This window comes from Homo sapiens, chromosome 9 (genome assembly GCF_000001405.40).
Source record: "Homo sapiens chromosome 9, GRCh38.p14 Primary Assembly".
NCBI lineage: Eukaryota > Metazoa > Chordata > Mammalia > Primates > Hominidae > Homo > Homo sapiens.
In genome coordinates, this window is record NC_000009.12 from 128,742,498 (window position 1) to 128,755,984 (window position 13,487).

A 13,487-nucleotide genomic window follows, 5' to 3' on the forward strand; every position below is an offset into this window, starting at 1 on the left:
AGGAGGAAGGGGGCAGCGCCCCCCACACGTACCACGACAAAGCCCATCTTGCCCACGGCCTCCTTGTGGTCGTTGTCTACCTGGCAGACCAGGGCATTGCACAGGTGCACGGCGATCCGCTGGATAGACTCGTCCTGCCGCGTGGGGTTGAGGATGCTGAGCAGGAGCTCGTTGACCCGGCGGTACTGGAATTCCAGCTCCTCGGGGATGCTGAAGTTGCAGAGCGTCAGGCAGCAGTTCCGCTGCACCTGGGCCGGGACAGGACACAAGTGGGGCACATTCAGGGTCAGACTCAGGAGCAGGGCTCTAGGAACTATCTAGAGGTATGAGCTCATCCAGAGTTGTGGCAGTCCAGCCCGGTTTTCTGGAAGAGGAGGCTATACAAGTCTTCTCTAAAAAATGTTTTTTAAAAATGTGAAATATTCATACAGAAGAATGCATAAAACACAAATGTATAGTTTTATAAATGACATAAAGTGAACTCAATGTAACCACCACCTGGGTCAAGAAACAGAACACTGTCAGCACCCCGAAGTCCCCACTGTCCCTTCCTGATCATAAGACCCTTAGCCCTTCGACCCCCCTAGAGAGAACCACTACAATATCTCTGCTTTTCTTTTTCTTTCTTTTTTTTTTTTGAGATGGAGTGCTGCTCTGTCGCCCAGGCTGGAGTGCAGTGGACCTATCTCGGCTCACTGCAACCTTCACCTCCCTGGTTCAAACAATTCTCCTGCCTCAGCCTCCTGAGTAGCTGGGATTACAGGCGTGCCACCATGCCCGGCTAATTTTTGTATTTTTAGTAGAGATGGGGTTTCCCCATGTTGGCCAGGCTGGTCTTGTACTCCTAGCCTCAAGTGATCTGCCTGCCTTGGCCTCCCAAAGTGTTGGGATTACAGGTGTGAGCCACTGCGCCCAGCCTTCTTTTATTTATTTATTTTTTTTGAGACAGGGTCTTGCTCTGCTACTCAGGCTGGAGCACAGTGGCACCATCATGGCTCACTGCAGCATCAACCTCTGGGGCTCAAGTGATCCTCCCTCCTCAGCATCCTGAGTAGCTGGTACTACAGCTGTGTGCCACCATATGCGCAGCTATTTTGTTTTTTGTAGAGATGGGGTCTCACTATGTTGTCCAGGCTGGCCTCTACTTCCTGGGTTCAAGAGATCCTCCTACCTCAGCCTCCCAGAGTTCTGGGATTCTAGGCATGAGCAACTGCACCTGGCCCCTGCTTTCTTTAATTTTATTTAGTTTTTGAGACAGGGTCTCACTCTGTCACCCAGGCTGGAGTGTGGAGGCACAATGTCAGCTCACTGCAACCTCCCCCTCCCGGGCTCAAGTGATCCTCCCACCTCAGCCTCCCTAGTAGCTGGGATTACAGGCGCCTCCAATGGCCCCTGCTTTTTTTTTTTTTTTTTTTTTTTGAGATGGAGTCTCACTCTGTCGCCCAGGGTGGAGTGCAGTGGCGTGATCTCAGCTCACTGCAACCCCTGCCTGTGGCGTTCAAGCAATTTTCTACCTCAGCCTCCTGAGTAGCTAGGATTACAGGCAACTGCCACCACGCCCAGCTAATTTTTTGTATTTTTAGTAGAGATGGGGTTTCACCGTCTTGGCCAGGATGGTCTTGAACTTCTGACCTCGTGATCCACCCACCTCGGCCTCCCAAAGTGCTGGGATTACAGGCATGAGCCACTGTGCCCAGCATTTTGTTTTGAGATGGAGTCTCGCTCTGTTGCCAAGCTGGAGTCCAGTGGTGCAATCTTGCAGTGGCTCACTGCAACCTCTGCCTCGCGGGTCCAAGCGATTCTCCTGCCTCAGCCTCCCAAGTAGCTGGGATTATAGGTGCGTGCTACCATGCCCAGCTAATTTTTTTGTATTTTTAGTAGAGACAGGGTTTTACCATGTTGGCCAAGATGGTCTTGATCTCATGATCCACCAGCCTCAGCCTCCCAAAGTGCTGGGATTACAGATGTGAGCCACCGTGCAGGGCCTTTTTTTTTTTTTGGATGGAGTTTCACTCTTGTTGCCAAGGCTGGAATGCAATGGCGTGATCTCAGCTCACTGCAACCTCTGCCTCCCAGGTTCAAGTGATTCTTCTGCCTCAGCCTCCCAAGTAGCTGCGATTACAGGCTCCAGCCACCATGCCTGGCTAATTTTTGTATTTTTAGTAGAGACAGGGTTTCGTCATGTTGGCCAGGCTGGTCTGGAACTCCTGACCTCAGGTGATCCACCTGCCTCAGCCTCCCAAAGTGCTGGGATTACAGGCATGAGCCACCATGCCTGGCTGGCCCCCGCTTTTTATAGAGATATTCTATAGGTTTGCAAGATTAACTGTTGTTATACGTAGCTGAAATGCATTCATTTTTCATTACAGTATAGTATTCCATCATGACACCCCAATTTTTTCATCCATTCTACTGCTGATGGATGTCTGGGTGACTCTAAGAGTTGGCTACTGTGAGCCATGTATTATACCTGCATCCTGGTGACCATAAGCATGGGTTTCTTTAGGGCACACATGCCTGGTATGACTTCTGGGTCACAAGATGTACATGTCTTCAACCTTTTTAGGTAACACTAGACTGTTTTCCGCAGTGGCTTTAGCAGTTTACACTCCTACCAGCAGTGTAGGAGCTCTCCAGTTGCTCTACATCCTCAGTTTTCTTTGTACTGTCTGCAGGTTTATTTGCTTATTGATTTGTTTGGGTTTTTTTTTTTTTTTTTTTGAGACAGTGTCTGATTCTGTTGCCCAGGCTGGACCATAGCTCATTGCAGCCTCAAAATCCTGGGCTGAAGCAATCCTCCTACTTCAGCCTCCTGAGTAGCTGGGACTACAGGCGCACATCACCACATCTGGCCAATTAAAAAAAAATTTTTTTTTTGAGATGGAGTCTCATTTACTCTTATCACCCAGGCTGGAGTGCAGTGGCATGATCCTGGCTCGCTGCAACCACCTTCCAGTGCAAGCGATTCTCCCGTCTCAGCCTCCCAAGTAGCTGGGATTACAGGCACCCACCATCATGCCTGGCTAATTTTTGTATTTTAGTAGAGACAGGGTTTCACCATGTTGGCCAGGCTGGTCTTGAACTCCTGACCTCAGATGATCCACCCGCCTCAGCCTCCCAAAGTGCTGGGATTATAGGTGTGAGCCACCTTGCCTGGCCTTTTATTTATTTTTAAGACGCGGTCTCTCTGTTGCCCAGCCTGGAGTACAGTGGTGCCATCATAGCTCACTGCAGCCTCGAACTCCTGGGCTCAAGAAATTTTTCACACCTCAGCTTCCAAGGTGGCTGGGATTTCTGGGTATGTGCCATCACACCCCGCCTTTTTTTCAGTTTAAATTTTATTTTATTTATTTATTTTTTGAGACAGAGTCTCACTTTGTCACCCAGGCTGGAGTGCACTGGCACCATCTTGGTTCACTGCAACCTCTACCTTCTGGGTTCAAGCAATCCTCCTGCCTCAGCCTCCCTAGTAGCTGGGATTACAGGCACACACCACCACGCCCGGCTAATTTTTGTATTTTTGGTAGAGATGGAGTTTCGCCATGTTGGCCAGGATGGTCCAGAACTCCTTGCCTCAAGTGATCCATCTGCCTCAGCCTCCCAAAGTGTGAGGATTACAGGCATGAGCCACTGTGCCCGGCCTTTTTCAAAAAAATTTTACAAGTGAGGATATATCTTTTTCCTCTAAGAACAGTTCTAATTGCAGAATGGCTAGGTCAAAAGATAGATGCATTTAGAATTTTGGCAGGTTCTGCTGGTTGCCCTTCACAAAGGTTGCACGATTCATCCCTTACCAGTAGACAGGGTGTGAGGGTGCTCTTCCCTATCTTTGCAACACTGGGTATCACCAAGCTCTTGAGATGAAATGTGACTTCCTCTTATTTTGATTTCCATTTCTGTGACAGATTTATTAATTCATTTGGGAGTCTCCAACTAGTCTTCTTTTTCTCTCTTCTTTTCCTTTTTTTTTTTTTTTTTTTTAAGACAGGGTCTCCTCTGTTGCCCAGGCTAGAGTGCAGTGGTAGAATCTTAGTTCACTGACTGCAGCCTCCACTTCCCAGGCTCAAGCAATCATCCCACCTCGGCCTCCGAGTAGCTGGGGCTACAGACGCATAGCACCACACCCAGCTAATTAAAAAAAAATTTTTTTTTTTTGAGACAGAGTTTCACTCTCGTCACCCAGGTTGGAGTGCAATGGTACCATCTCGGCTCACTGCAACCTCTGCCTCCTGGGTTCAAGAGATTCTCCTGCCTCAGCCTCCTGAGTAGCTGGGATTACAGGTGCCCACCGGCACACTCAGCTAATTTTTGTATTTTAAGTAGAGACCGGGTTTCACCATGTTGGCCAGGCTGGTCTTGAATTCCTGACCTCAGGTGATCCACCCACCTTGGCCTCCCAAAGTGCTGGGATTATAGGCATGAGCCACTGCGCCGGCCTAAAAAAATTTTTTTGTAGAGAAGGGGCAGGTGGGCAGGTCACTTGAGGCTAGGAGGAGTTCCAGACCAGCCTGGCCAACATGGTGAAATCTTGTCTCTATTAAAAATACAAAAATTAGCCAGGCGTGGTGGCATGCTCCTGTAGTCCCAGCTACTCAGGACACTGAGGCAGGAGAATCGCTTGAACCTGGGAGGTAGAGGTTGTAGTGAGCCGAGATCACACCACTACACTCCAGCCTGAGCAACAGAGACTCTGTCTCAAAAAAAAAGAAAAGAAAAAATATACACACACACATACTGCCCCTGAAATTCTACAACTCTACTTACAGAAATGTATTATAAGGATAACTAATTAAGTATAATTAACAAAGCATTGCTTGAGAGAGCAAAAGATGAAACAGCAACCTAAATTATTTGGCCCTGGGGGCTGTTTCACACACTGGGCAGAGCCTTGACCTTGGCCACTCCCTCCAAGCTCCAGCAGAGTCCTCCACACAGTGGCCTCTCCCTGGATGAGGACACTGAACATATGCTGGTGTCAGCAGTCATGAAAGTGAGCCTTAACACCAGCTGCATCTAGAGGAGGAGAGGTGAGATTGTAAGTGGCTTTCGCTCTATTTAATACATTCTTGTATCACTTGAATTTTTTCATCTTTTAAGCATTTAGGTATCTTTTTTTTGTTTTTGGTTTTGTTTTGACACAGAGTCTTGCTTCGTCACCCAGACTGGAGTGCAGTGGCACGATCTCAGCTCACTGAAATCTCCACCTCCCGAGTTTAAGCAATTCTCCTGCCTTAGCCTCCGGAGTGGAGTAGCTGGGACTACAGGCACCCGCCAGTATGCCCGGCTAATTTTTGTAGTTTTAGTAGAGATAGGGTTTCACCATGTTGGCCAGGCTGGTCTGGAACTCCTGATCTTAAGTGATCTGCCTTCCTCGGCCCTCCAAAGTGCTGAGATTACAGGTGAGGGCCACCACACCTGGCTTAAGCATTAGATATCTTTTGTAATCAGAAAAGAAACATTATTAAACAATTTTTGGGCCTAGTGCAATGGCTCATGCTTATAATCCCAGCACTTTGGGAAACCAAGGCAGGAGGATCACTTGAGCTAGGGGATAGCAAGGGCAACACAGCGAGACCCCGTCACCACATACACACAGACACACACAAATACAAATTAGCTGACTGTGGGCCGGGCATGGTGGCTCATGCCTATAATCCCAGCACTTTGGGAGGCCGACGCAGGCGGATCATGAGGTCAGGAGATTGAGACCATCCTGGCTAACACAGTGAAACCCCGTCTCCACTAAAAATACAAAAACTTAGCGTGGCAGGGTGGCGGGCGCCTGTAGTCCCAGCTACTCGGGAGGCTGAGGCAGAATAGCGTGAACCTGGGAGGTGGAGCTTGCAGTGAGCCGAGATCGTGCCACTTAACTCCAGCCTGGGTGACAGAGCGAGACTCTGTCTCAAAAAAAAAAAAAAAAAAATTAGTTGGGTGTGGTGGTACATGCCTTGTTGTCCCAGCTACTGGGGAGGCTGAGTTGGGAGGCTTGCTTGAGCCTGAGAGGTGGAGGCCACAGTGAGCTGTGATCATGCCGCTATACTCCAGCCTTGGCAACAAAGTGAGACCCTGTGTATTTGTTTTTGTTTTTCTTTGTGACAGAGTCTCCCTCTGTCACCCAGGCTGGAGTTCGGTGGCTTGATCTCAGCTCACTGCAACCTCTACCTCCTGGGTTCCAGCAATTCTCCTGCCTCAGCCTCCCAGGTAGCTGGGACTACAGGCGCCTGCCACCATGCCCAGCTAATTTGTGTATTTTTAGTAGAGACAGGGTTTCACCACGTTGGCCAGGCTGGTCTCGAACTCCTGACTTCAGGTGATCCGCCTGCCTCAGCCTCCCAAAGTGCTGGGATTACAGGTGTGAGCCACCGTGGCCAGCTAATTTTTGTATTTTTTAGTAGAGATGGGGTTTCGCCATGTTGGCCAGGCTGGTCTCAAACTCCTGACCTCATGATCTGCCTGCCTCAGCCTCCCAAAGTGCTGGGATTACAGGCGTGAGCCACCACGCCCAGCCTGAGACCCTGTCTTAATTAAAATATATATATATATATTGTGGCTGAGCACGGTGGCTCACGCCTGTAATCCCAGCACTTTGGGAGGCCGAGGCAGGTGGATCACCTGAGCTCAGGAGTTCGAGACCAGCCTGGCCAACATGGCGAAACCCTGTCTCTACTAAAAATACAAATATTAGCCTGGCATGGTGGCACGTGCCTGTAGTCCCAGCCACTAGGGGGGCTGAGGCAGGAGGATCACTTGAACTCAGGAGGCAGAGATTGCAGTGAGCCAAGATTGTGCACTGCACTCCAGCCTGGGCGACAGAGTAAGACTCCATCTCGAAAAAATAAATAAATAAAAATTATTGTTTGATCCTTTCGTAGTTTATAAGAGTGATGATTAGGTCTTCATGCTCATGTGTGAAATGTGCCTCCCTCAAACCATGTTAGGACGTTGGCATATTGCCCATCTGAAATGAAAAAAAGTTTTTGTTATATAAATATGTTGGCTGGGTGTGGTGGCACATGCTTGTAATCCCAGCACTTTGGGAGGCTGAGGCAGGTGGATCACCTGAGGTCAGGAGTTCAACACCAGACTGACCAACATGGCAAAACCCCGTCTCTACTAAAAATACATAAATTAGGCAGGTGTGGTGGCATGCACCTGTAGTCCCAGCTACTTGGGAGGCTGAGGCAGGAGAATCACTTGAACCCGCCACTGCTCTCCAGCTTGGGCAACAGAGCAAGACTCCATCTGAAAAAAAAATTTGTTGGCTGGCCAGGCGCAGTGGCTCACATCTGTAATCCCAGCACTTTGGGAGGCTGAGGCAGGTGGATCACCTGAGGTCAGGAGTTCGAGACCAGCCTGACCAATATGGTAAAATCCCATCTTTACTAAAAATACAAAATTAGCCGGGCATGGTGGCGCATGCCTGTAATCCCAGCTACTCGGGAGGCTGAGACAGGAGAATCACTTGAACCCGGGAGGTGGAAGTTGCAGTGACCCGAGATTGTGCCATTGCACTCCAGCCTGGGCAATAAGAGTGAAACTCCATCTCAAAAAAGAAAAAAATTGTTGGCGGATAAGGGAGATGTTCATATTCATGTGACAACACAGTTGAAGTAAAAATCCACCATATACAAACAGTATGCAGTTTGTGTATCCCATTTACAAAATATGTGTGCATAGGCTAAAATTCACAATTGATATCCCATGTTAATGGTGCCTGTCTCTGGGTAGTGGGTTTATGGGTGATTTTTATTTTCTGTATATCTGTAATTATAACTTTTCTATAATAAAGGCTTTTATTACTTTTATATTAAAAGCAGCTGTTGGTAAGAAATCCCCCAGCAGAGTGTATGGGCAGAAGGGCTGAGGAGACGGCACAGGCAGGGAGAAGGGCAGGGTCCCTGGGCCCCCACCCCCACATGGGGCAGGGAGGAGGATGGAGGGCAGCCAGGAGTGATGGACTGTGGGAAGGGCCAGGTCCCAAGAGTCAGGGAGTGCTGCTGTGGGAAAGGGAGCTGGGACAGATGCAGCCCAGAGCCGGGGGAGCCCTAGCGGGACGCAAGAAGCAGGAAAGGGGTGGCTGGGCCAGAGCATGCGGGGCCGTGGCGGGTGGGGGCTCACCGTCACCTCCTGGTAGGATTCCATGCCATTCAGCACCACCTGGATAACCTGCCGGCGCAGCTTCACACTCTGCTCTGAGCGGTACTCGGAATTTGTTAGGTAGAAGAGAGCGGCGCTGCCTGTCACTTGAATGTTCCTGTCATATTTGTGGCACTTGAGGGCCGTGATGACCAGCTGTATGAAGACAAGGGGGACCTGGGCTGGCAAGTGCAGGGAGAGGCCTGGGCTCTGCAAGGGGCTGGAACAGGCTCTCTGGGGCAAGGTTTAGCCTGGTCTTGCTCTCTAAAGGCAGAAGTGGGGCCTGGGGAGCAGACACCAGGGTGGGGACCAAACAAGGCCAGTGCTGAAGCAAGTCAAGTGCTGTGAGGCCCAGGCTGGGGTTCGGGTCCTGGGGCCCTGGGGACAGGGTGCAGAAGGACACAGGCTCTGGGGACACGGCTCAGCCAAGCCCGGCAACCTCCAGGTGGGGAGGGACAGGAGGCCAAGGCCCCAGGCTTGGAGCTGACCTTCAGGGCCCGCAGCAGCTGGTTGCAACGCTCGATGCGGGCGATGTCAAAAAGCAAGTTGATGGCCCGCGAGGTGATCTCAGGCCGGTGCTCCGTGTAGGCCTCGATGGCATTCAGCACCTGCTCTTCGTTTTTGTCACCACTTACCTGCGGGTGGGACACGCTCAGAACAACCCAGCAGAGGCCAAGGGCTGGGATGCCAGATCCCAGCTCAGTCTCCAGCCCCAGAATCCAGCTCCTTCTCTCTCCCAAGGCTCCCTGGCCCAGACCCATCCCACTTCCACTGCTCACTTTGTAGGCTGGAATGTGCGTGAGGCGGCACAGAGAGTTCTCAAAGAGCCCGAGGAACTGCAGCGGCCTCTTCAGAGCCCGGAAAGGTATGATGCTGCTCTTGGAAGGCTCAATGCTGGGGAAAGAGGGTGCCGGTGTCAGTGGCTTGGGACCCAGGCCTGAGCTGGGCCTCCCCACTGGGGGTGGTGAGGCATTTCCTTGCTTTCTCTTCTAGGCCCTCCAACCTCATCCCCTACTCCTTTTGTTTTTAATGGTAGGGGACATAAGCACCACCTCCTGATGGAAGCATGGCAAAGCCACATAGTAGGGGAACACATAGGATGGGCAATGCAGCCACCTTTAGAAACCACCTGCCATTCTAGTAAGGACATGGCACCTTTAGGTCTCACCAACAATCACAAAGGGACAAGCTCAACTGAACACCATTAAAGCAGGCTGGGGCCAGGGCTTATGGGTGGCCAGTTACAGCTGGTAGGGTTTGGTCAAACTTCTCAACCAACCAATCCAAGAACCGACCTATGTCCAGCAATACTCCATAGGTGGCAGACACTGCCAGCCTTGCCTCTTCCCCCCATGGCACTGTGCTCTGGTCAGGCTGAGTGTTGGGTAGTTCCCCTGTCGCTCCTCATGCTCTCACCTACTGGCCTTTGCAGGTGCTGTTCCCTCTGCTAGAACACGCTTCCTCTGGCAGAGGCAGAATGAGCTTTCAGGACAGCCAGGATGCGTCCCTCCTCCTCCTTCCTTCCTGATCCTCAGGCCACACCGGGGCCCTGGATTGCCCCTACCATAGCCCTTGTAATGACTTGATTGTCCCCACCAGCTCACACAGCCTCCAAGAGGGCAGGACCTGATTTGTTTCTTTATCTCTAGCACCCAGCACAGCACTTGGCAGAGGGGTACTTGGCAAATACTTTCTTTTTTTTTTTTTTTGAGACAAAGTCCCACTTTGTTGCCTAGGCTGGAGTGCAGTGGCGCGATCTCAGCTCACTGCAGGCTCCGCCTCCCGGCTTCAATTCTCATACCTTAGCCTCCCAAGTAGCTGGGACTACAGGTGTCTGCCACCATGTCCAGCTAAATTTTGTATTTTTAGTAGAAATGGGGTTTCACCATGTTGGCCAGGCTGGTCTCTAACTCCTGGCCTCAAGTGATCCGCCCATCTTGGCTTCCCAAAGTGCTGGGATTACAGGCGTGAGCCACTGCGCCAGCCTAAATGCCTGTTGAATGACACCCTACCAGTAGCCATGGAGGCTGGGGCCCCACCTGGTCTGCCCCGCTTCCTCTTCCATCTTGGAGATGCTGCAGTTCTCTAGGATCATGTGGCCAGAGATGTCCAGGGACATTAGGTTCCCCAGCTTCTGCACAAAGAGGCTCAGCACCTCCCGAGTCAGCTTGAACTTGTAGTAGCTGGAGAGGCGGTCTCGGGAGATGTCCAGGTGTCTGAAGATTGGGGTAGGGGGTGCAGGTTAGGAGCTGGGTACAGGGTGGGGCTGCCTTGCAGATCCCAGCTCCTTTAGTCTGTAGCAGGGGAGGGCCCATTCCTGCCACAACTTCCCCAGGGCATTCTGGGAAGAAACCCCAAACAGCCCCAATCCAGCTGAAACACTGGGTTTAAGGAATGGGACTGTGTCTTCATCCCCACCCTCTGCCTAGCCAAGCGCTCCTGAACCCTGAGGGCGTGACAACACCCACCTCTACTCCTCCCCACCTGCCCCCCAAACCCCACCCTGGTGAGCTCTGGGCCAGGAGCTCACCGCAGCTTGTGCAGCTGCACGATGACCCGGATGTGGTCGTCGGACAGGTCCATGTTGTAGAGGACGAGGGACACCAGGCTGTCTTTCCACTGGGTGAGGAAGGCGGCGTCGCTCGTCTGAATGCCTGAGAGGTCCAAGGCAGCCAGGGAGTTAAGCGGCCGCAGCAGGGACTCCACAGGGACCCAATCAATCATGCGGCCCAAGTTGAGGAAGCGGAGGCGGCTGAAGCCCTCGAAGGTGAAATCCTTAACCAGCACCTGGCAGGTGGGGTTGACGAGGTACTCATCTTCACAGCCCCCTGGGTTCTCCTCCTCATAGAAAATGTTTGTACAGCCGAAGAGGCTCAAGGACACCAGGGTGTGGCTGAAGCTCCTCAGTGTCTGCAGGCTCTTGGCGGACAGCTTCTCGCAGTTAGTCAGGTACAGCTCCACCAGGTCCTGGGAGTGGGCACAGCTCCATCATCATCACCACCCTTGCCCCTTCCCCCGGCCCCAGGCCTTGCCCTGGGCTACAGGTGGGTTGGAAAGGGGGATGTGCACAGTCACGGTGCACACTGGCTGGGCTGGGGATGGCTGGGCTGGAGGCGAGCAGCCTGGCCCCTGCTTGGTGTGGGCCCTCCTGGCGCTGTGGCGGGGCAGGTCTCACCTGCTTGCGGATGGCCTCCAGGTCCTGGTCCTGCACCAGGTCCTCACGGAGGTGGATCCGCGTGAGGCGGGTGCTGCGGGGGTCCGAAAAGAGGCTGAAGAAGCTCTCGTGTGGCTCGAAGTTACAGGCAGCGTTCACCAGCTCCACATACCTGGGAGAGAAAAAAGCCTGGCTCAGGAGAGGGCCACAGGGACTCTCATCCTCGCTTCAAAGCCAAGCCCTCCTCCCCCTGAAGCTTTCTTGGATCACCCCAAGTAGCAACCTCCTTCTCCTAAGAGTATCTGGTCAGATCCTGACTAAACTACCAGTAAGATTAAGGGTGCCCAGGAACCAGGAATCTAAAGGCAGCTCTCTGGGAGACCTTCTAGGTGATGCAGGCGCCATCTCTCCCAGTGCACATGCCTGTCACACAGCCTCCACGCACGCACACTGCAGGGGCAGCAGCCCCACTGGCATGGCCACTCTCGTCACCTTCTTTAAGCCCCTCCTGCGACCCTTTTAAACAGGCAAACTAAGCCAAGTAGTTCAGAGTTCCCAGCTGGGTACAGGACAAGCCCTTAATGAAGCCCTGTTGAGACATCAGCTCATGCAAGAATCCTGGTCTGCTGGGAAATGCTTTGGATTCAAACGCTTTAGACTCTAAATCTTGGCTTGGCTGCTTCCTACCTGGGCAACTTCACACAAGTAAATGAACTTTCCCAGACCTCAGTTTCTTCATCTGTAAAGTGGATATAACTATGGCCTGCAAAGTGTCCAACCTAAAGCCTGACCCACGGTAAATGCTCAGGACGTTATTACAGGTCCACCTCTGTCCTCAGGCCCACACAGGCTTCTAGTTTCCTATGCAGCTGTCTAATAATTTCCCTTCTGGGAATCTTTTTCTTTTTTTTTTTTTGGTAGAGACAAGGTCTCGCTATGTCACCCAGGCTGATCTTGAATTTCTGGTCTCAAGTGATCCTCCTGTCTTGGCTTCCCAAAATGCTGGAATTACACGTGTGAGCCACCATGCCTGGCCACCATCTGGGCCTGTAGATTGAACTCCCAGCATTCAGTGACTGCATAGCATGCTTCTAGGAGCCCCTAGGAGTGGGGAGGCCCTCGGAGGGCCATTCAGATTTTCTGGATGATTCACTCCCTGATCATGGATCCGTTATTCTGGCACCGGCATGTACATGCATATGTGGCCATGCTCACTGAATTCACAAGCACAGGTATGTGCATGTGAATGTACATACACGTGTGGGGCAACACTTAATTCCTTCATTTATATGCAGATTTTGACACAATCACATCTCTAAATGCACACATGCAGTTTCACAGTCAGAAATAACCTGTGCTGCATAAGCTTACATGTGTACACACACCCATGCCTTCACGTGCACACCCCTCCACACACACACCAACACACACACATATACACCTTTACGGTTATGGATACACCACTATTCTCTTGCAGCCATGAACATCCATGTGCACACACACACACCCTCACACATTCATCTCCATAGCTACTCCCCACATAGTGCACACACGGTCCCAATCTCTCTATACACATTCATGGTAAGACCCCTGCCCCTCCTCAGCCCTGGGTCTGCTCACTCATTGACGAGCCGGTCACAGATCTCGCTGGGCAAGAAGATGTCCGGATGTAGCCGCAGGGTCTCCTTGTCCAGCAGGTAGCCCAGGGTGCCATCCAGGTTGCGCAAGCAGAAGTCAGTACAGAGGGCCATCAGCGACTCGGGAGTGTCGGACGCCATGCTGGGGGCAAGCAGGTGGGCCACTCCAGGACAAGGATCCCCAGGGGCAACAGTGATTCCTGAATACTCACAGGATCATTGGCAGAGCCACTGCCTGGGGAGTGGACAAGATGCCAAGTGAGCCACACACAAGGGCTAGAACTATCAGTGGTCCCATGTCCACGCTCTGAGTAGGGAAACTGAGACCACACTCCAATTAGCAGCTTAGCAGGGCCAGGCCCAGGTCTCCTGACTCCTTCTTTCACCCGCCTCTGCTGTGCCACTATCTATGCACAATTTGACCTGCAAAGAACATGGAGCCTTGTCCAAGCACTTATTTGCCTGTGAGCAGACGTGTGTGCTGGGGACCCAGTGCTTGGGTGGGGATAATACAGATTTTCACTCTTCAGCTTCCCACAGTCTGAAGAGCTACACTGGGG

The 13,487-nt window shown here is 51.8% G+C and overlaps 1 protein-coding gene and 1 non-coding gene across 10 annotated transcripts in view; one reads left to right on the top strand and one right to left on the bottom strand.

Annotated features, from left to right (window-relative positions):
• ZER1 (zyg-11 related cell cycle regulator) overlaps positions 1 to 13,487 on the bottom strand; it is a 42,701-nt gene that overhangs the window by 12,712 nt on the left and 16,502 nt on the right. For 5 of the 9 annotated variants that reach the window (NM_001375956.1, NM_001375959.1, NM_001375954.1 and 2 more), the window contains exons 2-9: positions 12,911 to 13,162; positions 11,312 to 11,462; positions 10,667 to 11,103; positions 10,176 to 10,352; positions 8,916 to 9,030; positions 8,625 to 8,771; positions 8,119 to 8,292; positions 33 to 248 (exon numbers count right to left, since the gene is read on the bottom strand). In NM_001375956.1, coding sequence (NP_001362885.1) covers positions 33 to 248; positions 8,119 to 8,292; positions 8,625 to 8,771; positions 8,916 to 9,030; positions 10,176 to 10,352; positions 10,667 to 11,103; positions 11,312 to 11,462; positions 12,911 to 13,068 — 1,575 coding nt within the window. In that variant the 5' untranslated portion in view covers positions 13,069 to 13,162. The remainder of the gene's footprint in view (positions 1 to 32; positions 249 to 8,118; positions 8,293 to 8,624; positions 8,772 to 8,915; positions 9,031 to 10,175; positions 10,353 to 10,666; positions 11,104 to 11,311; positions 11,463 to 12,910; positions 13,163 to 13,487) is intronic. The other 4 variants (XM_017014188.2, NM_001375958.1, NM_001375957.1 and 1 more) reach the window with 1 other exon arrangement.
• On the top strand, positions 6,861 to 6,964 carry LOC124902340 (small nucleolar RNA U13). The gene has a single exon (XR_007061916.1). It is a non-coding gene; the product is annotated as a small nucleolar RNA U13 (small nucleolar RNA).